General features: G+C 38.3%; 1 protein-coding gene and 1 long non-coding RNA gene across 4 annotated transcripts, besides 6 other annotated features; one reads left to right on the top strand and one right to left on the bottom strand.

Annotated features, from left to right (window-relative positions):
• Window positions 6830–11267, bottom strand: TPBG (trophoblast glycoprotein). Of its 3 annotated transcripts, NM_006670.5 has the most exons (3): window positions 10711–11267; window positions 10342–10604; window positions 6830–9627 (listed from the first exon to the last, which is right to left on the bottom strand). In NM_006670.5, the coding sequence occupies exon 3, from the start codon at window positions 9286–9288 to the stop codon at window positions 8026–8028; it is 1263 nt and encodes a 420-aa protein (NP_006661.1). In that variant the 5' UTR covers window positions 9289–9627; window positions 10342–10604; window positions 10711–11267; the 3' UTR covers window positions 6830–8025. The 3 variants fall into 3 exon arrangements, with proteins under 3 accessions (NP_006661.1, NP_001363851.1, NP_001159864.1); NM_001376922.1 differs by lacking the exon at window positions 10711–11267 and having other exon boundaries at window positions 10342–10433; NM_001166392.2 differs by lacking the exons at window positions 10342–10604; window positions 10711–11267 and adding an exon at window positions 9921–10006.
• Window positions 8019–8920: an enhancer, noted in NCBI's record as "H3K27ac-H3K4me1 hESC enhancer chr6:83075047-83075948 (GRCh37/hg19 assembly coordinates)". NCBI's record gives its function as "activates a minimal SCP1, AML or CMV promoter by ChIP-STARR-seq in naive H9 embryonic stem cells {active_cell/tissue: H9 hESC(naive)}" and the evidence as "EXISTENCE:reporter gene assay evidence [ECO:0000049][PMID:30033119]".
• Window positions 8019–8952: a biological region, named in NCBI's record as "H3K27ac-H3K4me1 hESC enhancer GRCh37_chr6:83075047-83075948".
• Window positions 8873–8952: a silencer, noted in NCBI's record as "silent region_17354". NCBI's record gives its function as "represses an Ori minimal core promoter by ATAC-STARR-seq in GM12878 lymphoblastoid cells {active_cell/tissue: GM12878}" and the evidence as "EXISTENCE:reporter gene assay evidence [ECO:0000049][PMID:35858748]".
• Window positions 8921–9823: an enhancer, noted in NCBI's record as "H3K27ac-H3K4me1 hESC enhancer chr6:83074144-83075046 (GRCh37/hg19 assembly coordinates)". NCBI's record gives its function as "activates a minimal SCP1, AML or CMV promoter by ChIP-STARR-seq in naive H9 embryonic stem cells {active_cell/tissue: H9 hESC(naive)}" and the evidence as "EXISTENCE:reporter gene assay evidence [ECO:0000049][PMID:30033119]".
• Window positions 9975–10486: an enhancer, noted in NCBI's record as "H3K27ac hESC enhancer chr6:83073481-83073992 (GRCh37/hg19 assembly coordinates)". NCBI's record gives its function as "activates a minimal SCP1, AML or CMV promoter by ChIP-STARR-seq in primed H9 embryonic stem cells {active_cell/tissue: H9 hESC(primed)}" and the evidence as "EXISTENCE:reporter gene assay evidence [ECO:0000049][PMID:30033119]".
• Window positions 10487–11000: an enhancer, noted in NCBI's record as "H3K27ac hESC enhancer chr6:83072967-83073480 (GRCh37/hg19 assembly coordinates)". NCBI's record gives its function as "activates a minimal SCP1, AML or CMV promoter by ChIP-STARR-seq in primed H9 embryonic stem cells {active_cell/tissue: H9 hESC(primed)}" and the evidence as "EXISTENCE:reporter gene assay evidence [ECO:0000049][PMID:30033119]".
• On the top strand, window positions 10593–21471 carry LOC105377875 (uncharacterized). The gene is made up of 3 exons (XR_942738.4): window positions 10593–10638; window positions 18976–19060; window positions 21415–21471. It is a non-coding gene; the product is annotated as an uncharacterized LOC105377875 (long non-coding RNA).
• Window positions 21472–26973: the final 5502 nt, after the last annotated feature.

The following is a 26973-nucleotide window of genomic DNA, read 5'->3' as shown; positions in this document are numbered from 1 at the left end:
TTAAACAAGTTCAAAATCAATTAAATCAGCCCTGGCACATTTCAGTCATCAATCAAACATCAGTGGTGAATTGTAATAGAGTCTGACTCCATTTGTGATGTCTGAGTACTCATAGTTTTTAAGATCCATTCCTCCTCCTCCCACTTTTTGTCCCATATCTGAGCAAGCCTATAATAGGGCCCATGAACTTCATCCCTTGGCATCTGCTGGAATGTGAAGACCAGACAAACCTGAAGCCTCCACGTGGCTCCAACCCTGATCACAATGAAAAACAAAGCCAAGTCCTGCTCTCCCCAAAAAGTCACATTATGCAAGTAATAAACCTGTGCATACTCTCTTGGTGTGTGTGTGGTCTCATCAGTCTTGATATCCAAACCAATTTGGGAAGGGTGTTGATCTCATCTTTGTTGGGTACAGCCACAGCTATGCATATAACTCCTTTGCTCGTAGACTTCCAAGAGCTCCCCCACTGTCCACTAAATTGTATAGAAACTATTTATGATAGCTTCCATCTAGAAAGATAAATTTATCTTTCTAGTCTTATACTCCATTATTCTCCTTTGTAAACATTACATTTCAAATGTTACTGTTCCCAGAAAACACTTGGTCTTCAATTGCCTCCATTCTCTTTGCTTATGCTATTCTCTCTGTCCTGAGTTTTCTTTTCTACCCATCATCTCTCTTTGCCTCTTCTTCAAAATCATCTTAAAAGCTAACTCTTCCATGAACCCTTTTTGGATTCTCCTGACCAGACAAGATCTCTCCTTACTTTGAACCTGATATCACCTTGTTTGAATCTCTGGTGGGGTTTATCATGTTCTATGCTAGAAAAAGCACAGACATGATCGTCATTCACATCTCCTCTAGAGCAGGAGTTAAGAGCTTGGATCCTGAAGGCTCCCCCAACATCCTCCCCAGAAAAAAACAACAGTTCAAATCCCATATCTGATTCTTACTACCAAGTTGTTCTTGGGCAGGTCATCTATCCTCTGTAAGCCTCAATTTCCTCTTCAAATGAGAATAAATCTTATATGTGAAAAGCTGCACTCCATGAAATGTTAGTTATTATCATCACTTGTCCTCACAACTAGATTAGAAGCAAGTTTATCTCAGAAACTCATTTTTAAAAATCCAATGCAAGATCTGAAAAAATGATTCATGGGAACTTACTAAAATTTTAAAGCAAATTAACAAGAAGATGAGTACAATTAATTCACTTGTATGAAATCTCACTTAATTCTAAGTATACCCATACAAGGCATCTAAAAAAATAAATAAAAGAGTAGAATTCGGCAAAGATATAGGTTTGTCTTAATAACTGCTTCCTAACTCATAACTAGCTAAATTTATTTCCCAGATGTTCCTCCATACCCCACATTGTCTTTCCCCACCCTGACTCACACACACACACACACACACACACACACTCACTCATAACTGGGCTATGGGCTTAGCTATCTTCTAAATTTGTTATTTTAACAAAGAATAGAAATTTATGGATTTAAAACAGTGACAAGTTAGTTGACAACTCGGTCCATATTTACTTCTGTTCAAAATCCTGTCCACAGACATTTCGTTACTATGTAAAGTTTGATGTGAAACTCTTAAAACATATAGTGAGCTATGATCTATATTTCATCATCCTAATTTAAATAGGCATCAAAAATATTTTTTGAAGTTAGAACAAAAGAGATTATACCCTTGGATCTAGTAATTCTCCCTCAAGGATCTACCTTAAGGGAAAAATGCAAAAGGTAGAAATACAGGGGGGTACAAAAATGCTTATTGCAACATAAGTTAAAACTGCAAGCAACATCCTGTATGTATAAAACATATGATTGTCTGCAGTACATTAGAACCAGATGTTAAAATAGTTTTCATAGTGGTGGAGAATGCTCAAAAAAGTGTAACTGAAAAGGCAGGATACATGTGAAATAAAGAGAAGGCCATTTATCCCAATATTAGCACTTCTTTTTTCCTTAGTCATAGTGTTACTCATGGTACTTTTCCCTTCCTGTACTTCAAAATATTCTACAAAACATGAGTTAATTTAAAAATGTTTTTTAAGTGTTTTATAGCCAGTGTTGAAATGGTCTATAAGAATCACCACAGAATGTGTACCATTGAAAATTAAAGTCCTCCTTGAATACAATGTAATACTGTATTGTAAAATTGAGAGAAACTGACATAGAGTCACTTGTATTTGTAAACTGACCCACCTAATGTTCCAGTCAGTCCAATTCCCCTGGGTAAGATCACCTTGAAATGTTGTGTGTCATGGCTCTCTTGGGAGGAAGAAAGTAAAAAGTAATAGAAACAGAACTGATGGCTGGGCACGGTGGCTCATACCTGTAATCCCAGCAGTTTGGGAGGCCAAGGTGGGCGAATCACTTGAGGTCAGGAGTTCAAGACCAGCCTGGCCAACATGGTGAAACCCCATCTCTACTAAAAATACAAAAATCAGCTGGGCATGGTGGTGCACGCCTGTAATCACAGGTACTCGGGAGGCTGAGGCAGGATAATTACTTGAACCCAGGAGGCAGAGGTTGCAGTGAGCTGAGATCATGCCACCACACTCCAGCCTGGGCAACAGAGCAAGACTGTGTCTTAAAAAAAAAAAAAAAAAAAAAAAGAACTGTAAGGGGAAGGGGAAAATAAATGTATAAACTTCCGTTTTTTTTTTTTTTAAGCCTATCTCGATAACATCCCCGGTTCTTTAAAACATATTTTTAATATTTACTTTTCACAAAAAGTATTATAGAGGGTCATTATCTTAAGCTTCTGCTTCCTTAGACCAAATGTTTCCTTACATTAACCAAGTTAAATTGTGAACCACAAGTAAGTCCTATCATAAAATGTCAGCTAAATATAAACTGTATTTGTTTTTATAAACATTTACGTGTAAGTGTATGATATAGTAATCATGTTGCTTAATCTTAACCCACACTTTTTTAAAATAATAAAGTAAACCTAATTAATTTCCCATGCAATACCCTGAAAGGTACTCATGCTAGCTTCCCAAAATTCACATAAATTATAAGCCTTTTGCAATCTGCAGCATAAATACTACATATGATGTGAGAAAATTGAGATGTAGTGTGTGTCCTGCATATGTAAAGACAGTAAACTGGCACTTCAGCAGCCAAGCTGGCAGTGTTCGGCTGGTCAGTCCCCTGGTTTTCCAGGGTGATAATGGATTTGCATTGATTTAACTAACTTCCCTGTTTGGTCCAGGCCCTTAGAGGATGGCAGCATGCACCTGGAGTGGGCGTGAGCTAGGAGAACACAGCAGAGAATGCAAAGCTGACTGTCTCACCTGGTGACTGATTGACTTAATGGTCACGAACTTGGTCTCATTTGTTTAGTTTTCTCACCAGCTGAGCTTAACTCACATTTAAGGTTGAATTATACAAACCAGCACTGCATTCCAGAGTTTTTATTTTTCTTTTCCAAAGAAATATCACCATTAAATTTCCAAAATACTTCCTATTATATAATAGACTCATAAGATTGTTATGAAAAAATCATTTCAAAAACATTAAATGTTTTCGGGGGTTAAAACATGGTAATTTTTAACAAAGTAAAATCTAGAGCAAACTGAAGCATTCACTCAAAGCAACAACAATAAAACAAACAAATTCACCAAAGCAATTGCATGTTTTTATCAGACATGGTGATTTCAAAGGCCTCAAGGTAGGCAATTAGTAATGCCATCATCTGGTAAAAAGAGCACCAGAAGGGGAATCTAGAACCCTAGGATTTTGTCCTGGTTGTCACTGTATAACTGACACTGTATAACATAATAACTGTCACTGTATAACATAATAAGTCACAGTTACCAGTTACTTCATTTGTGGAATGGAAAGCTGAGCTTGACACTTCTAAGAGCGCTTCCAATTTTGAACGACTAAGAATTTGTATTCTTGTCAAAATTATATAAATCATATATTAAACATTTTTTTAATTCTAGATTTTTTTAACCCATGACAAAGAGCTGCTAAAATGTTCTAAGATAAAACAAAATAAAATGAGCCTGCCTTTTTGAAACAAAAGTCTCTAAGAGTAACAATGGGAAAATAACTGTACAAAACATCCTCAAGATGTTTTTCGTCATCTAAAAGGTGACAGGATCACCTGGACAATGTTGAATGTATTTTCTTAAACTAATTATTTCTAGTGCAGCACTGCAGTATTGGTGAAAGATCTTAAAAATACAATATCAAGGTAATTTTCATATATTATCTAGAAATATAAATTCCTCCCTTTCCTCTCCTTTACTGTTAAAAATGCTTGCACAAGTGTAAAAGTGAAACCAGAATTTCATCTAATAAATGTCTGTCTTCACTTTACGGTGCTGCTCTGAAAGGTGGATGACCGGATTTGGGAGCAGGAGGAAGCACGTGCAGAATTGTTTTTAACCTTGCAAATCTCGTGATGTCTCCTTTAGTGTAGTCTTGGGAGAAAAACTAAAATGATATGAAAGAATCACAATCTAGAATTGCAAAGCCTCTAAGGTCCTCAACAAGGTAAGCCCTGTTTTAGAACATCAGGTAAAAGGAAAAGAGTAAAACAGAATTCCTAAGCAAACAATCTCAGTTCATCTGGACCTTCTTTTTTACAGCCACTTTAATTAAAAAGACAAAAGACAAAGGTAAGTTATTTCTAATTAAATACTGAGATGAGCATAATCCACACTTACTGCCAATCAAGGTATTTCTAAAGGATTTATTATTTGTGATTTGCTCATTTATTTCAACCAGCCTTCCCCCCCAAGCTCCTACTCTTTTTCCTTTAAAAAATCCTATTCATTTAAAAACTCCTATTCAATGTGCTTCAAAGTCTCCTTATTTTGTTAGAAAAATCTGTCAGCTCCTGTACAAATTTGCCTTGTAGGTTACCATTGAATCACACCCATAGCAGCCAAACTGCTATTACAAAAACGAATGCTGCAAACTGAATGGTTACAATCAAAGGGGGCAGTTATAATTCAGGGCCAAATAGCTGTATTATCCTAAAATTTTTGCTACTTTAAATAGAAATTTATGGGATAGTTGAATAGCTTTCTAAATTAAGGGATATATCAAGTCCTTGAATTTCTAAGTATTTTTTCTAACTTTCTTCAAATGAAACTTGTAAAGGATAAATGAAGGGTGTTTTATGTTGAAAATTTTACGTTCAGTAATAAAGAGTATTACCAACTAAAATAAAATTTTAAAAATGGATACTTGCAGGTTTCTAGAGTCAACAATGCATTAATAGTAAGAACAGTATTTAAAACAAACAGACTTGTCTTATTTTTAAATAAAGTGATACTTTTATTTTTCCCATATTCCCTTATACTTATTGAATTTATATAGCCTCTATCTTCCAAGGAACTTAGAATGTTTTATAAGCTTATAGACTTAAGAATATTAGGGCTGCAAAACATTAATTAGTTGTCAAATAATAACAATTTTTTATCTTAAGAATAAGGTGTTCTTTTAATTGACTTTTTTATTTCCATATTTTGGAGAACAGGAAGGAGTGATGTGATGGAAAACAAAGCAGTAGCAATTGGAAAGTCCAAACAAGAGAATAAGTAGGGGGATGAAAAAGAAGCAATAAATTATAACTTCAAAGAAGCCATCTACCTAACAGGGAAAACTTGGCTTCACTTTATCAGATTCATCATTGCTTCAAAGAGTTGATGAGAAAAGCTAGACTAATGAATCTACTGCTTCCCTGGTTCTTAGATAAAGCTCCACTTTAAACTGTTAGATTATCATGTGATGAAGAAACAATTCTTCTCAATAGAGGCTCTATCAATATTATAATTTGTTTCCTACAATATCAGAAGACTTACTAAGTCCATCAACAGTTTACTAAGATAGTGGTCACTATTTTTGACAGATTAGTATCTCATTGTTCTTACCAAATAATGGCAACCAGACAGTTTAGGAATTTCTGATGAACACTTAAACTGTTTGATGGAATTTTAAGTGCCAAATATTTAGCTTTTTCTGAGGTAATTATAGGATCTGAAATATAACCCTTAAATAATAAATACTATATTTCACAAAACAAGCCTGATGGAATTTAAGGAATTACAGCTTTGTATTCTGACTATATATTCTAACCTATAAAAAGGAAGATTTACTTATTTTTAGCCCTACTTTGAAAATTTCTGAATTTAATTCAAAGAAGGAATCAGCAAAGATTTCTAGAACCTAAAATACTATCTGATCCTATTTTATTTATAAAAATATGAAAATGTAGATTTTATTTCAAACATAAAGCACTGAAGGACATAACCAGTTCAAAGGAAAAGCAAGCCCTAAGACTTACTGATGCAAGTTTACCTAATACTTTCAGTTAAGCAATAATGGCTACATTTAAATCACTTGATAAAAGAGCCTGAAGACTGATTAATGGAATTTACTTTTCAGATTAAATGACAGATAATAAACTGAAAAAATAATAAAAGCCTTGTATATTATGGATGTATCAATTAATGATTGCCTGTATTTACACCTAAATGTGATTTATTCTTCACAAAGGTGTATATACTTACATTATGAACAGCTTAGCTAAAATCAAAATATCCTCAAATTCTTAAACACTGAACTGAAGATAAGAACCTATAAATACTTGAGACACGTGTTTACAGATGTAGACATTTATCTGTGGTTATTTCCTCAAGTTCATATTCAACCATGTCAAGTCAACTTTTTAAACATATTAGCTGGGTCTCTGATAAACTAAAGAACATTTATGTTCCACTTTAAATGTTTTTTTGAAAATATCCTCAAGAAAATCTAAGTTTCAATTTACATTAAGACATTGAGAAATATTTTTTAAATTATATTTTATATCTTTTATTTCAGAATATTGTCTTTAAGACACTTTATCTTTATATTTATTTGCATTACATTTGTTTCAAATTCTGCTCTAAAAATCCACAGAACAATTTCAAACAGAGTTTTATTAAGTAAATACTATTTTTCTAGACCAACAATAACTTCATTAGCCTTGAAAAAGCCCCAAACTGGGAACTGTTTATTGTGCAGAACGCTTAGCTTTTACCAACTTCATTATGTTCTTACAAAACTGTTTCATAAATAGCATTAACTTTGGGACCATACAGTCACATGAATACTCAAACTCTCCATTTAAATACTAAAAGGATCCACCATTTCAAAACGATCTCCCAAGTCTATTTATATTAGACATTGCTACAGTTTGATTCTCAGCTATGTTAAGTAATAATTATCATCGGAACCAAGACCATTGAATACTCCTGCCCTTCATCCTTTTTTCAAAGCAAACTTGCACACACTGTAATTCTTTTAAGAATCTTTATTTTTTTTTTTTTTAACAATTCAGTCGGTTGGATCTCGATGCAGTTTATTAAAAAAAAATCAGTACATTTTCATATAAACTGCAATCAAAAAAGTAATTTACTTTGTCAAAGAAGTTATGAAGTTGCAAGTTATTTTTTGTAATATGCAGAACAGTAAAATGTAAGCATGCTCTTGGATGCAGGTGCTCCTGTGCACCATGGAGTTATTTTGAAGAGCCTGCTAACGTCTGCAGGCAGTTTATAGGATGCAATTATTTTCTCCACAACTTAGGTACATGAGAATAAAACTGATATTTATGAATAAAGTATTTTTCTCGAAAAAGTTGAGGCAGCTTTTGTTGAATGCTATCTGTGTGGGTACACTTGCTACACCTTGAACTGTACTGAGAGAGAGACAGACAGCAAGAAGCCCATGTTCATGCTGAAACCTGAAAAATCCCTCCATACGTGTTGAGGAGTTCCAAGAAAAAGAAGAGGGTAAAACACTATACACAACTGTTCATCGTCTTACATTAACAGAACACACCGAGAAACTTTACATAACAAGGAAGCAAATCCCCTTCACTGCTTTTAGTCAAAGTCCGTTGTATCTATAGTGGAGGATGAAAGTGGAGCAAGCCTAGTAGGGATAAAGCTTAAGTCTACATCTCATGCAGAGTTGTCCTTGGTCTGTCCTCTAATATTTCTCAGACATCCGAGTTAGAACTGAGGTTCGTTAATCTGGGGTCCGCATTGATTTCATATCTGTAATGATACCCTTCCATGTGATCCCTGCAGGCATCTCTGATGTTATGCATCCACTTTTTTATCCCCTTGCGGTTCAAATACAAAACCAGGAGGAAAATAGCGCCTATCAGGGCTAAAACAATACCCAGGAAGACATAAGAGGTTTGCAGGGATGGGGGAAGAATCGGGTCACAGTCCAGGTCAGCACTGTTGAGTTCCAAGAGGACCCGATTCCTCATTTTTTCCGGATATGCACAGGTGAGCCGGTCTTTGCCCTGCACTACCTCTGTTTCCTTGAGCCAGGTCACCATGTCTGCCATGTGGCAGTCGCAGACCCAGGGATTGTTGTCCAGGAAAACCCTAATGTGGGGTAGACCTTGCAACTCAGCCAGGGTGCCATTGTGAAGGACCTTGAGGGCATTGTCCTCCAGGTGGAGGCTTTCTAGATGTGTCAGGTTGCGGAAGGACACGTAGGTCAGGCTCACCAGCGAATTATTACTTAAGTCCAGGTGCCTGAGGCTGGGCAGTTGGGCCAGCACATCCCGCGGCAGGTAAAGGAAGTGGTTGCTGGCCAGCTCCAAGCGGCGGAGCCCCTGCAGTGCACGGCCCGCCAGCAGGGCCGCCACCACCATGCCCTCGAAGCTCCGGTTCTGCCGCTCATCTTCAGGGGGCACGATGTGGTTCAGGATCAGTTCCACAAGGGGACTGGGGGCCGAGACGCTGGCATTGCTGCCCGAGAAAGCGAAGGGACTGAGGTCGGCCAGTGGGTTGTGGCTGAGGTCGAGCTGGCGCAGGCTGGGCAGATGCTCGAAGGCGCCCGCGCGCACCTCGTCCAGGCGGCTGCCGCTGAGGTTGAGCGCGGCCAGCTCCGCCAGCGGCGGCCGGCGGGCGAAGGCGCCGGCAGGGAGCACGGCCAGCTGGTTGCCGGTAAGGAAGAGGTTGCGCACGTAGGCGGGCAGGTCCGTGGGCACCTCGGTCAGATTGCGGTTAACGCACTTGACTGTGCGCGCTGCCTCGGAGCACTCGCACAGCGCGGGGCACTGGTCCGGCAGCGGGGGCTGGGCGGACACGGCGGAAGCCAGGAACGGCGCCGAGGAGGAGAAGGAGGATGCCGAGGAGGTGGGAGAAGACGAGGAGACCCAGCCCAGGAGTACCAGCGCTAGTCGCGCCAGCCGCAGACGCCCGTCCCCGGCGGCGGGGCCCCGGGAGCACCCCCCAGGCATCGCGGCTCGCGTTTCCCCGGAGCTGGGCTGGGACGGCGCCCGCTCCGAAGGCTCGGGAGGCTGGGCCCGGAGGGCGCGAGCCGGCGGAAGCGTCTGGAAAAAAAAAACTTTCCTCTCGTGGAACCGAGGGAGTGGCGCCGCAGCCGGAACTTGGCTAACCCCCTCGCCACCGGGCGCTTCCCTCAGGGGCCGATTCCCCCGCCCCTTCCCTCCAGAAAGTACGCACGGCGGGTCGGGACGCTCCGCTCCGCGCTCCTGCTCCCGCTCCTCTTCCTGCCGCCGCCCTGGTGCCACCTCTTCGCCTCTTGTTGGCGCCCCTCGCTGGATCCTCTGAGGGACCTGGGACAAGCAGGAGAGAGGCGTGAACAGCGGTGGCTGCCGCGGCTTCCGGAGTGCAAAAACCGGCCTTTTCGAGTCTAGTCGTCTCCAGTCTGTCCCAGAGACCTCCTTCCAAAAGCCCGCCCCGGCCTCGCCTCCCCAACCCCTCCGGTCACTTTTACTCCGGAGGGGGACGCGCATCCGACACCCAGACCGCAAAGTCTTCCTTCTTCCCTGGCCCACACTAAATAAACCCGACCGGCCTCCCGCCCTCCGCCTTTCCCGAGGAGACTCGTCTCCCGCGTCTAACTTACCGCTTAATCCCCAATTCCTTCCCTACCAAACTTCTCCCTCTCCCGTTCCTTCCTGCACCGCCTCGGCGGAAGGTCGGCCTCCGGGTGTCTCCGCCCCCGCCCAGACCTCTCCACCAGGTCCCGGTTAGGATGCGAGGGAAGTTTCAGGTTACAGGACTTTTTGATCTCTTTTTGTACCTTCTCGCATTAGCAGGAAGTGGAGCTACAACTGTCGCCCCCCAGCCCGCGCCCCGCCAGCCCCTCGGATCTCAAAGGGGTTCAAGTCATCTCCAAAGAGGAGGGGAGAGTCTGGGAACAAAGCAGCAGTGGGACTCGGGGTACAGTGGCAACCCGAACCAACCCTACTCTCCACCCGAGGATGGGGAGGGGCCCCAACGACGCCTCCCGGGTCTCTCCCAGGCCGCGGGCTCCCACTGCTCACCTCCGCGTCCGCCGCCTCCAGAACCAACTCTGAGTTCCACCAGAGTAGCGACGACTTCCCGGCTCCGCGTTGCGGGCGCCGACTCTCTTCGCACCCCAGCCCCTGGCCCAACCTCCCAACCTCCGCAGCTGGGAAAAACCAACCCGGGGGGCGGGGGAGGGCCAGGACTGTCGGGGAGATTCCCGACGCGCGGCCAACCTCGGCAGCCGTAGGTAGGGGGATTTAAGAAGAGAGACTAGGGGAGCTGGGCTGCGCGCCTCCTCCTGGTGGAAATTAACGAGGAATGTGCCGGAAAAGGTGAGGGAATCCCTTTCTCTCCCCCCTCCCCGACATCCTTGGGTGGTTCCTCATTTTGCATACTGTATTTACCTTGGACTGGAGCAAAACCGCTGGTGAATCTCGTGGAATTCACCCTGATTCAGGCACCTTTGGCAGTGACGAGATAGATTTAGGCATGACAGAGCAGCGCGAAGCAGCAGCAGAAAGAAATGAGCTGAAAATCTACTGCGGCAGCAGCAAAGGCACGGCAGGTTGTATGGAAGCTTCAGAAGCTCTCCCCATCAAAGTGGTACTTGAGGCCGCAAACTTCAGATTTAGGTGTAATTAATGCCTTCCCGCCTGTCCCCCCCGCCCCCTCACTTCTTGGGTAGTGATGGAACTTGTGAAGAGAGCGCGCCAACTTTAAGAGAGAGAGAGAGAGAAAGAAAAAAAAAAGATTAGTGGAGAGGAGATTCATTCCTGATTCATTAGCTTTTCTCTTACCAAAATTAAAAGCAGATGGAAGAGAAAGGCAGCCAAAGGCATCCCAGAAACAAAAGGCAAATAGCAAAGACTTGAGTCTCCCGGAAAGCGGACCCGCCCCCCTCCCCAGATGTAGCGCGGTGTGTCAAGTCACTTCTGTGGAGAAAGCTCCAAGGATGAGGAGTGGGGATTGCAGGAGCTGACCTGGGAGAGAAGTTTGGTTTCAAAGTCGATTGTCCCAGGGGGCATCTGGCAGATGGTGATGGAGAGGATGGGGTTGGGGAGAGGGACAAATTGAATGGTTGGTTACCGGAAGGATCTGTTATTATACCAGACAGGTTTTGGGTTCTGAAAGCCCTATCGTTGCTCTCTGTAACTCCACATCCCCTTTGTCCCAATTAAATAATTTCCCCGAAGGGATAAGAAGGTTCTTCCAGGCTTCTTCATTTTAGAGAGAAAATGGCAATTAGGGAAAACATGGTTCGGAAATTTAAGACCTGGTCGTATTAAAAAAGATCAAATAAGGATCCTGAGGCTTGTGCCTGGGACATGTGCCTTTAGTGTGAAGAAAGACCCCAACTCTCCAACGGACGCCTGATTACTTTTATAGAAAGAGATAGTCTGCAAAGCCGACAGCAAAAATGGCTCAGACAAAAGCTGAAAACACTGGAAACTGCAGAGATTTGTGCACAAAAGCTGGTTTCATTAATTTGCATCTTCAGCACGTTTATCTACATCTCTTTTCTTATTTTTAAAAGTGTTTTGCAACATGAATGTAAAACACTTTGAAAAAGAATCTCTAAAGCTGTAGTCATGTTCTGTATCCGGATTGTGGTGGTGGTTACATAAACCTATACAACGTGTTATAACTCATAGAACTTTGTAAACCAAAAGAGTCAATTTTACTGTATGATAAGTTTAAAAATAAAATTAATTACTCATTGGAAAAAACCTGTAATAATGCTCTGGCATGGTATTAACTCTGGTCCTGATCTGAAGACCAACTGCTTTGTTAGGAGAGTGAGATACACTTTAGAATTTAGAAACATAATATATATACTCATCTGATTTTCAAGACAACTCAGAGGCAAGATAAATATTGTTAGTATTATTGCTTGTTGCTATTATTGTTGTTGTTCTGTTGTACAAATGAAAAAACTGGGGCTTTAAGTTAGCTTGACTGAGTGTCTTCCACTTGCCAAGCACTGTGCTGATCACAGATATTATCTCATTGACTCTTCACTTCGGTACTCAAGTTAGGTCCTCTCACTCCAGTTTTACAGACAAGAAAATTGACGCAAAAATAAATTACATAACTTGTTCAAATGAGTGATGGAGGTGGGAACCAGGCCCAGATTTGCCTGCCTCCCATATAGTACATCCCACATTCTGCCTCTAGGCAAGATTAAGGAGTTTGTGCAAAGTTCTACTCTGTTCCACTTAGGCAGAACGTAAACCTCACCTCTTGTTCCCTTTTTACTTCTTCTGCCTCCACCTTCCTGCAGCTGGCAATTGCTTATGGCTGCTGAATAGGGACCCAGAAATTTAGGGTCATTTCTAGCTCTGACACTTGCCTGCTGTGTGTCTTCTATAATAGGACCACTAATGAAATTTGAAGATATTTCCATGAAAATTGAGATAAATATGTCACATACTTAGCAAAATCATCTGTTTTGATAGTTCTCTCCTAAATTACCCCCCTCATGTTATTTATTGTAATCCACTATATCTCTGTAACTATGTTAGTAATAGGAATACAAGGATAAATAATTTAAAGTCTCTTTAAGGTAGAGTTGCCAGATTTAACAAATCTGGCAAAACAATGAATACCTTTTAATGAACAAAACAATGAATACCTTTTAAGTGTGTCCCATGCAATATTTGGGAAATGCACCCAAAATTTTGTTGCTTATAGTTGAAATTCAACTTTAATTGAGTATCCTGTATTTGATCTGGCAATACAGCAGTTGATAATCTGGTAAACGAAAGACATAGACACGGAAGCAAAAGCTCTCAATGCAGAATTGAGTACGGTTTGGTGTGTGTATCTTTCCAGTCAATGCCCTCTCTCTTTATAAATATTTCAATTGTTTCTGCTATTTTTTATGTGAATGGGATCATAGTATATGAATTATTCGCATTTTTTCTTTTTTAAAAACAACCATCTATTTTTCTGTGTGCATACATATAGGTATGCTTCTCCTTTTTTAAAGACTGAAATATTTCAAACTGTAGATTGTTGTACCACAATTTATTTAACAGCCTTATTGAAAGACATTTAGATCAGTAAATACTTTTTAAAGAAGTTTCCTCCAAGTGAGAAAAGCTTACTAGGATCAGTTCTATTTTGATTGTCTTAAGCATTTAATTATCCCAAATTATCATACTTACTTTACTCCTGACAGCTTGAAAATTTTTTGTGCATGATGCTATTTACATACTCTAAGGCAGGGCAGAGGATTGCAGAGCACATTTTTCCCAATTTATTCTTCTATTCCAAAGTGAAATAAAGGAAGGATCTGAATGTCCCGACAGATAAGAACCAATTTAGTGTATTTCAAGAGGTCACTTTGTAGCCTGCAGGAAACGTTTCTACACTATCATTTATTTACAAGATTGTTTCTACAGGGACCATTTTTCTTCTAATGACCCAAAGGAAAGTCAGTAGTAAATTATTGAAATATTGCTTCTAAATCCTGATTAGGCAAGGAATAAATAGGTATAAAAAGAATGATGAGTGGTTATGACCACCCTTATGGTAACTAGCAGAGAGAAGCCGCGTGGTCCAGCATGGACAAACACCAAGATTATTTAAGACTAGTTCATTTTGATCTCTGTCTCAAATTAGCAAAGGAATTGAATACACGTGAAAACTGTCAGATCTGAAAAGTAACTAAAACAAAGTCAAGTGTTGGTGAACAACAAGCACATATGTCAAAAAACCATGAACCAACACTTAAAACTAAAACCATCAACTTGAGGGTCAATTTGACAAAAAAAAAAAAAAAAAACCCACCAGAAATTGTACATGTATATGTGTATATTCATGAAGAAATAATTTTTTAAAATTGTCAGTGATTAAAAAGAAAACTTCAAGTCACTTTAAGTACTTGAAGTGTGTAAACTTCTGAGATGTGTAAACTAAAGTAAAATGTAAATTAAGGAATGGGTCAAAAGGAATGTATTTGTCTCATCAGTCAGTACAATAAGTGCTGCGGCTAGTAAAAGAAAAATATAGCCCTCTATATCTGTGGGTTCTATATCCCTGGATTCAACCAAACCACAGATAGAAAATAATCAAAAGAAAATAAATGGGTGGTTACATCTGAACCAAACATGTACAGACTTTTTAAAAAATTATCATTATTTCCTAAGCAATACAGCAGGGCGCGGTGGCTCATGCCTGTAATCCCAGCACTGTGGGAGGCCGAGGTGGGCAAATCACTTGAGATCAGGAGTTTGAGACCAGCCTAGCCAACATGGTGAAACCCTGTCTCTACTAAAAATACAAAAGTTAGCCAAGTGTGGTGGTGCACACCTGTAATCCCAGCTACTGGGGAGGCTGAGGCAAGAGAATCACTTGAACCTGGGAGGCAGAGATTGCAGTGAGCTGAGATCATGCCACTACACTCCAGACTGGATGACAGAGCAAGACTCCACCTCAAAAACAAAACAAACCTTTTGGTGAATTAACACTCCTTTCTGAGGGGCAGGGTTGATGGTCCAGAATGTGGTGGTCCAGCCTTCCTCCACCATTAATAATGGTTATTAAGAGTTTCTATTTGTATAGTGCTTTAACCATTTACATATTTTCATATGCATGATTTCATTTTCCTTCTCAACTCTCCATTACCTCTATTTTACACATAATAACACTGAGACTTAGAGAACCACTTGGTCCAGATTACCTAGTAAGTGGCCAGCCTGTGGTTTAAACTCTGTTCTCCTACTTTATTTCCAATATGGCAGGCTATCCCTGGACCCATTCACTATTTCAGATTCAGTAGTTGTTTCTTTGGAAGACACTGAGGTTTTCAGGGCAGAATAAACATATGTCAGAATTCCACTGAACTTTCACTTGAGAAATTAAGGAGAAAAACCTCTTCCCCTAATGAAATAAAGTTATCTAATGATATGTAATTTCTCTTACAGCCAAAACCAATGTTATTGCAGTTCAAACAAGCCCTTATATAAAAATGAGATAAATAAACATAAAATGTTAATAAAAAAAACCACAAAAAAATACAGCATAAAAACTATTTACATAACATTTACATTGTATTAGGTATTATGAGCAACCTAGAGATGAATTAAAGTATATAGGAGGATGTCCATAGGTTATATGCAAATACTATGCCATTTAACTTAAGGAACTTGAGCATCCCTGGATTTTGGTATCCGCAAGGATCCTGGAAGCAACTCCCTGAGGATAACAAGGGATGATTGTATATAGTAATATCCAAACTCTCCAAATAGTCACCATTACAGCAGGATCACTCAACATTAATTCAATAAATGCTTTTTTAAGACCCCGCTATATACTGTCCACCTATTTGATGCACTTGAAATACAAGGGTAGATAGGATAAAAATCCCTGCCCTCAGATAACTCACAGTCTAATGGGAAAGCAAATAGTTACAAAACATACGGTAAGTGCAAACATGGGATGGAGTGGGGAGACTGTCAGAAGGTTTTACTAGGGTGGAAATGCCTGAGTTGCATTTTGAAGCACAATCGGCCTGTATACTCAGCTTCTGCCCCGTGTATTCAATCAGCTGGGGATTGAAAATATACAGAAAAAAGAAACAGGAAAAAATAATGCTACAACAGTAAAAAATAATACAAATGAAAAATACAGTAAAACAACTATTTGCATAGCATTTACATTATATTGGGTATGATAATCTAGAGATGATTTAAAGTCTGTGGGAGGATGCATGTAGGTTATAAAAAAATACTATGTCATTTTATATCAGAAACTTTAGCATCTGTGGGGTTTGGTATCCACAGGGCTCTTGAAACCAATCCCCATGCATACTGAAGGAAGACTATGTTAGTAAGAACTTGACAGACAAAAGATCGGCAAGTTGGTGAAAAACCTGAGAATTTATTCAGTTCTAGAGACTACACAAAGCAGAGCACAGCACACATTGATACATTGGAGGGAGTGGTACAAGGTGAGATTTGAAATTTAGTGGGATCAGATTACTGACCTCCAGTCTAAAAGGTTTGTATTATTCCAGCCTGGCATGGTGGCTCACACCTGTAATCCCAGTACTTTGGAAGGCCGAGGTAGGTGGATCAGCTGAGGTCAGGAGTTCGAGACCAGCGTGGCCAACATGGTGAAACCCCATCTCTACTAAAAATACAAAAATTAGCCAGGCCTGGTGGCAGGCATCTGTAATCCCAGCTACTTGGGAGGCTGAGGCAGGAGAATCACTTGAACCCAGAAGGTGGAGGTTGCAGTGAGCTGAGATCATGCCATTGCACTCCAGCCTTGGCAACAGGAGTGAAACTCCATCTCAAAAAAATAAATAAATAAAAATAAAAGGTTTGTATTATCCTGAGTGATGGGGGGCCAATGGAAGTTTTCAGCAGAGGGATGACATGATCACAAGTGCATTTTAGAAAGATCACATTTGCTATCTGTTTAAAAGGTAAATTATAGACAAAGAAGACAAAACAGAGAGAAAAGTTGGGTGGTTCAAGTGAGGGATGACAAAGAGCCAAACTAAAGTAGAAGGAAAAGATTGGCAAGGCAACAATAGATTATATAGACCACTGGTTATTATATAGACCATAAGATTACATGGAACAGTGGTTCCCAACAGAGTGGCACTGCACCCAGTGCCACTAAAATATTTTTTGAAAAGAAAATATTGGCTTTTAGAAAGTTTGAAAACAACCTATAAAAATTTTTAAGATAATCTACAAATCTTGGTGATTTATTCACTTTGAAGGTAACAATACATACATTTATAATTCTAAATATAAGATTACAGATAACTTCTATATTTTAAATAATGACCAAGAGAAATTTTAATTTATCCCCAGTGTGACTAGATAAAAACCTGAAGTTCTCAGCCTAGAAACAACTTCATTTTACATTTAAGCTCCAAATACTTATAGTATGGTTTTATTATACGTTGAATTTTCCAGGAACAGTTAACACTGTAAGGAAACAATATATATTGTTTTGTTTGGAACTTTACCAAAATTTTATCTCTGATAACCATGCCACTCATTCTACTCAGATCATCAATATAGTATCAGTTTGCATTTGTAGTTGTTACATTTGCAGTGATTCTTATTTCAAAATGTCTAATATTTTTAAAAATTATTTCAACATTCATTTGAATATTGGTCTAACTTCTCTTAAATCCTAGCTTGTTTATAAGTAGGCAGAAGAATATCACCACTTCATTGAGTTTCTATCGTAGTTATGCCCAAGTATTTATATGTAGTGCTACATATTAACTAATATTCTTCTTTTATTTATCCTTTAATATTCTAGTTAATATAGTATGTACTTTTTAAATTATTTATCAAGATGCATTTTGTAAAATAAAAAAGGCTTTATAAAATATTGTGAAGAAGAAACATTGATTTTTTGAAAGTTTGAAAACAACCTGTATAAATTTTTAAGAGAATCTACAAGTCTTGGTGATTTATTCACTGTGAAGGTAAGAATACAGACATAATTCTAAGTAGCATAACATCACAGAAAACTTATTTAAAATTTTTTTCTCTTTTGAATTTAATATTTCAGATACATGGTATTTAGTCAGCCTCTATATTTTAAGTAATGACCAAGAGAAATTCTAATAATTCTTTATTAAAGAGTCAAGTTTGATTATGATGAAGTGAAAAAATACCTAGAGAAAGAATAGGATAAGACACTTATCTGTTTCAAGAACCTATCTTATTTGATTGAAATTATTGTCTTTTAAAAGGAAGTTATGGTAAATATTTAAATTAGCAATGTTACCTAATATCCTTTTTTAATGTACATTATTTCCACTTCGGAGGTGACACGGAAGATGTTTGCAGGGATTCTTGTCAAAATGTTCTTACCCAAGATGGGTTCTAAACCAAGACTGGAATTCAGTCAAGAAATGGGAGCAGTTGCAATTGTAGCCACCATCCAAACTCAATTAATTTCAATTAAATTTAACACAGTTCAATAAATGTTTATTAATGTGCTTTTCTGTAGTACTCACTTTGTCTTCCAAACAGGGCTACCTCCAAAGCCAGCAATTTCCCTTAAAAAAATTTACAATACTGGCACATTGACAGGCAATCTATTGCATATCCATGGCAGAGGTTCAGCAGATAGCGTTAGGCCAAAGTTTGGGTACATGACCCAGGCTTCTCTATTTTATTATAAGTCCTACCCAGTGAGTTAAAATACAGAGGTCAATAGGATGGTTCTTAGCACTGTTTGAAATGTTCAAATACAAAATTGAGTATCAAATTTAGATCCCCATATGAAAGCTAAGGAAGAGAGTACTAGAGATGTTATGTACTTTGAAATAGAAATTTATCATATTACCTTGGAGTGAAAAAAAGGAAGTTAAGGAGCTTAACTAGGGAGATAAAGTCAAGCCAGTGTCAAACCATATGGCCTGAACAGTGTGGGTAGCGATAGGATAAAGGAGTTGGGTGCGGGGCACACACCAAAGGATGCCCATACTGAACTTCAATAGAAACCCGGTAGAGAAATGTGTGACATCAGGCGGTACTTTCACCCCCAAAATATTGATGTGGGTGACATTTACAAAGGGGTGAGATTCAAAACGGTTTGCAACCAGTATGGCACAAAAACTGATCAAACAGTGTTCAATAATCAGAGGCTGCCACCTGTAAACAACTAATAGAGCTTTGTTGTTGCAGACTGCCTGAATACAAGCCCTGCATCTTCATAAGAAAACTAAAGACACTTCAAGGTTTCTGATAATCTCCACAACCACCCTCCAAAGTATGTGCCATCACTCAAAAATTGTTCGATAACTTCCAAGTTTCATCATAAGGAATTGGAAGCTTCTTTAAAATAGGGAAATTACTAGTAGCTATGGATAAACTGAGTTTATTCATTATTTATTACATAAATATTTTTGGAGTATGTGATGAGTGCTTCTAGGCACTGTTCTGAGAACTGAGGAAGCAATGGTGAAGAAGACAGACATGGGCTCTATTTTCATGAAATTTGTTGTTCCCACTACTTTGTTAAATCAACTAACTCTGATGTGAAAATCTAGATTTCTTTTTTAAGTGAATTTAAATATTTTATTTTTAAATACAGCAAACACACTCAACAATACAGAACAGCATAAAAACCTGTGCACCTATTACTCAGCCTTACAAATCCTAACATTACATTTCTTTTTTAATGTTCTTTTGCATATAATTGAAGTGTACCATTGGATAATTATGTATACATCCTTGAAACCATCATTACTATCAAGAAAATGAACGTATTCATTATTCTCAAAAGTTTTCTCATGTCCTTTTGTAATCCCTCTATTCACATGCCGCCCTTAAACCATCCCATCCTCAGGCAACCATTAATTTAATTTCTGTCACTACAGACTAATTTAAATTTTCTAGATTTCATATAAATAGAATCATAAAGTTGGTGCTCTTTTAATTTGGCTTCTTTCACTGTGCATAACTAATGTGAGATTCATCCGTGTTATTGTAAGTATCGATAATTCATTCCTTTTTATTTTTTTATAAGTAGCATTCCATAGTATGGATATAAAACAACTCTGTTCCAAATGGCTCTGACCTTCCTCCTAAGACCAGTGAAATAGCCTAAACATGCTATTCTTATGGCAACAGGTTAAGCACAAGAGCAAGCAAACGTAAATCATGTAAATCCTTTTTAAGATACTGCTTGCCTAACATCTGCCAATATGCTATAAACCAAAGCAAATCACATACTAAAGCCAAGGTGCATGGAATTACATCCCAAACAAAGTGAAAGGGCCCTACAAAGTGGCATGGCAAAAGGCTTGTGTAAAGGAAGGTCTGAAGAAATGGGGCTATTGATGCCATCTACCATGAACTGACATACCACCATTTCTTTAAACACCGCCCACGAGGATGTTTTCAGTCTTGTGCTATTACAAACAATACAGCAATGACTGAGTACATTGTCATCTTCCACACAGGCCAGTATATCTGTAGGATAAATCTTTAGAAGTGAAATTCTTGGTTAAAGGATATAGGTTTTTGTAATTTTGATAGGTGTTGCCAAAGCACTGTTCAGACATAATTGATTGTAACAATTATATTTCCACCAACAATGTTGGGACTATGTTATCATTAAAAATTTTTTTTCCAGTCTTACATGTGAAATGTAATCTTTGTATGGCTCTGATTTGTATTTTTCTTGTTAAAAATAAGATTGACAATCTTTTTATGTTTAAAAGCCATTTACATTTCCTTTTTTGAATCCATCTGTTCAGATCTTTTGCTCATTTTGTTTCAGTGAAGGTTTTTTTTTTTTTTTGCCTTTTTTCTCTTCTGTTTTTTTTTTTTTTTTTTTTTTAAAGAGATGGGAGTCTCACTATGTTGCCCAGGCTGGAATGCAGTGGCCATTCACAGGTGTGATCATAGCACACAACAGCCCCGAACTCCTGAGCTGAAGTGATCCTTCTGCCTCAGCCTCCAGAGTAGCTGGTGCTACAGGCACATGCCGCTGTGTCTAGCTTAGTGGGTTGTTTTTTTTTTCTTTCTTTTCCCAATAGATTTGTATATTCTAGGGAAATTAGTACCTTATTAAATTAGTTACAAATATTTCTTCATTTGTTTAATGCCTTTGGTCCTGGAAGTTTTTCATCTTGGTTTTTCATTTTAATAGAGTCTAATTTATCATTCTTTTATGGCTTCTGGGTTTTGTGTCATAGGAAGGCCTTCACTTCAAAATTATAACATTTCATTTTTTACATTTTTTAATCATCTGGATGTATTTTTTCAGCACCTGTTGAACTCTAGTATCTCTTCTTTTTCTTCTTGTTTTATAGAGATTTTTGCTATAAATATTATTTTTAAAAAAAGTTTAGGCCAGAATACATGATTACTATTTTCATCTGCTTTAATGCAACATTTTTTGGTGGGTTTTTTGGTCTGGCATTTGCTTTTCCCATTCTTGTCTTGCTTTCTATTTCTTACTTATCTTTCAGACAGGTAAGATTTTTCCTTGACCAGCAATCTGTCGAAGGTTCACAAAGTGAAGGTAATCTTGGGGATGTTCCAAGAAACTAGAATTTTCCTTAGAATCCAGGATGTTGTGTATGAGCCACTTTAACCTCTATGCTTCCCCAACAGAAGGAAATAATGAAGTGTGGAAGTTTTCACAATGCGAAGCTTCTCTTCCTCTCTTCTGCCACAAAGACTGACTACTTCTTGCAAATATGACTGATCTGTGAGAGTCCTGATTTAGCCTTGACTCCTCTGATTCACAGAACCAACCCAGTCTTAGGGAAGCATCTGCCAGTAGTCCTTGCATCCTGTGCTAAATACAAGATTGATCTTTTCCACCTCAAAGTATATACTTCACTTTCCAAAAATGTACTTTCTGACACTTTTTTTGAAATCTACATCTACAGTGTCTTCTTTCTTCTTTCATGCTCGATCCCACTGCTTGTAGGAGCCATTTCCCCTATTGTGTTATTTGGGGATTTAACTGTCATTGTTCCACTAAAAATGAGTTTGCACTTTTTGTTTCTTATTTTTCTTGTTCTTTTTGATGATTTTTGGTGAAAGAAAAGGGAGAAAGCAGACTTACTACCATTATTTTCAAATGGGAATTTTCTCTGGAGTTGTGAGGGGATAAATGTATGGCACAAAAAAAGATAAATAGAGTAAAGTTTATTAGATATTAGCAAAGGGTGCATATATTCAAAATTACTGTTAAAAAAAAGAACCATTGCATAACAAAGGGTAAAAATAAATAAATTAATTAAAAAGATATAGCAAAAGGAGAACCAAACCAAAAGGGTTTTAAAGATTCAGAAACAGAACGAACCCTATCAGTTATGGTATTAAGTAAAACAGCGTAAACTCTCTATCAATAATAGACTCATAGACTGAGTCATAAAACAAACTGTATACTGTTTATAAAAATGATTGACAGATTAAAAACCAGATGAAAAAGCCCTGGTAAAAATGCATCAAATAGTGCAAACAACAAAAAAATGTAGGGAGCAAATTATTAATATCAGACATAAGGGAAAGAAACAAAAAGAGGGTACTTTTGTTAAGAAAATGATAATATAATTCACAATGAAGAAAATATTCATAAAGTTTTATGCAGTGAATAACAAAAATATGTAAAGAAAAAATACAGGAATTGTGAAGAGAACATTTGTAGTAGAGACTTTTAGATGCTCTTTGATAGAATCTTTGATAGATTATGCAAATAAAGAATAAGATAATGAAGAATCATAATGTAATTCAGGTTATAATTACATTGTGTATGTATACATCATACTCTCATTTTCTAGTGCTCATTGAATAAATTCAAAATATGACTCTCTATTAGGCAATACTGAACTTAAATTTCAAAATGCAGAAATGAAATAGGTCACATTTTCTTACCACAATAAAATAAAATCAGAATCAATAATAAAAGATTTACCCTTTGGAAATAAAAAATGAAATTTTCAATAAAAATAGGAAATTTTAGAATTACAGACAAGTTGGAAATATGAGAAAAATGTCTTTCAAGAATTGTGGGCTGAGTGCGGTGGCTCACTCTTGCAATCCCAGCACTGTTGAAGGCCGAAGTGGACAGATCACTTGAGGCCAGGAGTTCGAGACCAGCCTGGCCAATATGACGAAACCCCATCTCTACAAAAAATACAAAAAATTAGCTGGGCATGGTGGTGTGCACCTGTAATCCCAGCTACTCGGGAGGCTGAGGCAGGAGAATCACTTGAACCCCGTAAGGTGGAGGTTGCAGTGAGCTGAGATGGCACCACTGCACTCCAGCCTGGCAGCAGAGCAATACTCTGTCTCAGAAAAAAAAAAAAAAAGAATTCTGAAACTTAGCCAGAGCAACATTATGTAGCGTTTAAGAGCAAGTTCTAGAGCCAAAAAAGTTTGATTTATATCCTGGTTATACTGCTTTGAAGCTTGGGTAGACATTTTAAGTGCTCTGTGCCCTTATATGAAAATGGGAATAGAATAGTAGAAACATTATAGGTCTGTTTTGAAGACTCTCTGACTCATTGTGAGAACTTTATAAATGCTATCCATTATTACTAGGAAAAAACTCTTTTTTTTTTGAGACAGCATCTCACTCTGTTGCCCAGGCTGGAGTTCAGTGGCATGATTACAGCTCACTGCAGCTTCAACCTCCCAGACTCAAATGATCCTCCCACCTCAGCCTCCCAGGAAGCTGGGACTACAGGTGTGTGCTACCCCTGGCTAATATTTTTATTTTTTTGTAGAAACGGGGTCTTACCGTGTTACCCAGGCTGGTCGGACTCCTGGGTTTAAGCAATCCCTCCCAAAGTGCTGGGATTACAGGTGTGAGCCACCACACCTGGTCAAAACTCATTTTTAACTGGTTTTGTCATAAAATAATGAAAATAAGTTACCTAAACACCAAACTCTCAAATTAGGTAAACAACAAGAAAATCTAAGGAAAATCAGAGATTTGATAAATTAAAAAGCAAACATTAAAAAATTTTAAACAATGATATCATTAACAAATAAATCCAAAAGATGATGGGTAAATATATACAAATCTTTCTTAAGACGAAAGCTCTATTATCTTACAAGATAATAGAGCAAAAATACATTAAGCAAAAGAAAAGGGATATAACCTAAGAAATGAAATAAAAATTTCAAATTATAAGAAAGTACCATGCCATAACTTTGGAAACATAAATATTAACAATTTCTAGAAATACTTAAATTAGGAAAACTAGCAGAAGAAAAAGTAGGAAAATAATGGAAAAAATGTGAAAAAGCTTTCAAATAGCTATCCCCAAAATGGTGCCAAGCCCTTACAGTTTTATTGATGACTTCTATCAAACTTCAAAGAACAGATTACCTTTTTACTACTTAAGGTAGTTCATAACATTGAAAAAGAAGAAAAGCATTCTAATTTTCTATAAAAGACAAGCAAATCCTGTGAGAAGAGACAAACTTGGATGGCCTCTGAGGCTAATTTCCTCCTCTATTTGATGGCTTAGCAGAATTGGCTTAGCAGGTCACAGTCAGTTGAAGAGAAAACAGACCATAACAGCTTGTGAGCTCTGAAAATCCCACCCCCATCTTTCTAACAAGGCCACTTCCTAGATTAGAGAGCTCCAATGTTGCATAGTACCCGCTCCTGTGCTGATAAATATGTTCAACCTAATGGGACAGGACCCTTCCCCACAGCAACAATGGCCATAGGGCATGCCTTCTGGCCTAAACTATGGGATGAGAAATTAGAAGATTTTATGCATTCTACTACTTCTCTACTTGTGAATTCTCTCCACCTCTAATAAACCCTATTTCATATCTGCAGCAGATGCCACTAGTGCTGTGTTCTGATTGCTTTGCCCAACACTCTAATCACAAAATTTGACGTCAGTACCAAACAAAAAAATTATAGCTAAATAACACATACATTTAGTTGCAGATATACTAGTAAATGAAACTCAGTAGTGTACAAAAGGAAGATTTTCCCAGGAAGACAAGTAGCATTTTCCCAGAAATTCAAATAGTACTTAACATTGGAAATTTTAGTTTTATTCATAATATTTATACATGAGAGAGGAAAAATCATACAACTAACTTAACAAATGTTAAAAGGGTGTTTTTAAAAATGCTCCGCCAATTAAAACTTTAGGAAAATAGAAGTGAAGATTAGGGTTGTCATGAATTACTTCATCACATTAGAAGCGTGTCAGCTTTAAAGAGTGGTTTGTGAATAATTTGTAAATGGGATGAGGTGATTGTTAAATATAATATAAATAGGAGACATTAAGAGTCTTGCAATGTAGCTAATACGAAAACATAAGGCCAGGCTGGGCATAGTGGCTCATGCCTGTAATCCCAGCACTTTGGGAGGCCGAGGGGGGCAGATCACCTGAGGTCAGGAGTTGGGGACCAGCCTGGCCAACGTAGTGAAACCCTGTCTCTAGTAAAACTACAAAAATTAGCCGGGCATGGTGGCAGGAACCTGTAATCCCAGCTACTTGAGAGGCTGAGGCAGGAGAATCTCTTGAACCCGGGAGAAGAAGGTTGCAGTGAGCCAAGATGGCGCCATTGCACTCCAGCCTCGGCGACAAGAGCAAAATTCCATCTCAAAAAAAAAGGGAAAACATAAGGCCAGATGCTGGTAGTATTTTCATATGTCATAAGCACATTTTGAATAAAAAAGTCCCCCAGTTATGAGGTAGTTCCTGGGAAATCCAGACCAATTCTGTTGAATTTTTTTTATTCTTTCCTTCTAACCCCTTATTTATTTCTCCTCCCTTATAATTTTTGGGAATTCTCTAGTTTTAATGGAGGAAGAAATTGTTCCTTCAGTGAGTAGTAGAATATGATTTAGGCCTTCAAGGTTAGACTCACCTGACTTTGACTCCCGTTTTGTCATTCCTATTTATGTGAATTAGGATACTTTCACTTCATCCGTAAATGGGGATTAAATAAGATCGTTAATTATTACCGGCTTCTCAGAAAACAGACTCTCCACAACTACCATTCCAAATCTAGGCCCTTTACAGCAAAGGTTGAATTTGTCTCCACCTAGCGAAGGCCCAGTCTGTGTCTCTGCCTAGCCAGAACCGTAACGTTTAAAAGGACACTAGTGAAAGAAGCTCTACTCCAAGTGGGTGTGGCCAAGAAGATGGATTCCCTCCTTAGCTCCCAATCAAGTGTTAACACATCTCACCAGAAGGGGCAGACTGTCAATGTTTCTTATCCCCTTTAATCCAAGATAAATAGGCTAAATTCCTGGTGAGTGTTGTAGAAAAGTCAAGTGCTCTCCTCCTCCACATAGCCCCCATCCACACAGAGGCTCTGCCCCAAGCACAGCAGGTCAAGAATGTTGGGGTCTGAATTGCCCTCATCCTAACACTCATAACACAAAAGTCTCATACCAGGAAAGGTAGGCTGGAAAGATCAGAGACTATGCACCCCACCCTCTGCAGTACCGGGAATAGTGGCTCAGAAATTTTGTTCTGAGGGAGAGACATCCGTAAGAAAAGAGAGCTCTGGACCCGTTTCTGAACTGACTTTATTTGAAAAGGAGTGTGGAGAAGCTCAAGTATAAAGATACTCTCAAAAACAATAGGGCTCCCTTATTAAGAACAACAAGCTGAACCACAGGCCAGCTATTCACAGACATAATCAGTGAAAGAGAGAGCTAAGAAGAGTCCTCCTTAGCTCAGAAAAAATCTGGGAGACTGGCCTCAAAAGTACCCCAGTCTGAATTTAATTGTTAATTTATTTTAATTTATTAATAAAAATAACAATTAATTTTAGTTATAAAGTATAAAAACATGTTTCTTATTTCATCTCTCAACTGATTTAAAATGAAGTTGTGTGAAATACTATGTTTATAAATATATTGTTGGGCCAGAACATATAGAAATGTAATATATTTGCTAATAACAGCATAAAGGAGTGTGGGAGCAAGTTGAATTTGGCTAAGGAAATGACACCAGATAATGACTTGAATCGATGGAACATATGTAGAAAACCAAAAATGGTAAATAATAAGGTTAACATAACAAACTCTATGTGTACAGGCCTGTGCTTAATGACCGGGGTATATTCCGAGAAATGCATTTTTAGGTAATTTTGTTGATGGGCAAACATCATGGAGTATACTTACACACACCTAGATGGTATAGTCTACTACACACTTAGGCAATATGGCAT

This window comes from Homo sapiens, chromosome 6, assembly GCF_000001405.40.
Source record: "Homo sapiens chromosome 6, GRCh38.p14 Primary Assembly".
Classification (NCBI taxonomy): Eukaryota; Metazoa; Chordata; class Mammalia; order Primates; family Hominidae; genus Homo; species Homo sapiens.
The sequence above is the reverse complement of the archived record's forward strand: the minus strand, read 5'-3'. Positions and strand labels throughout refer to the sequence as shown.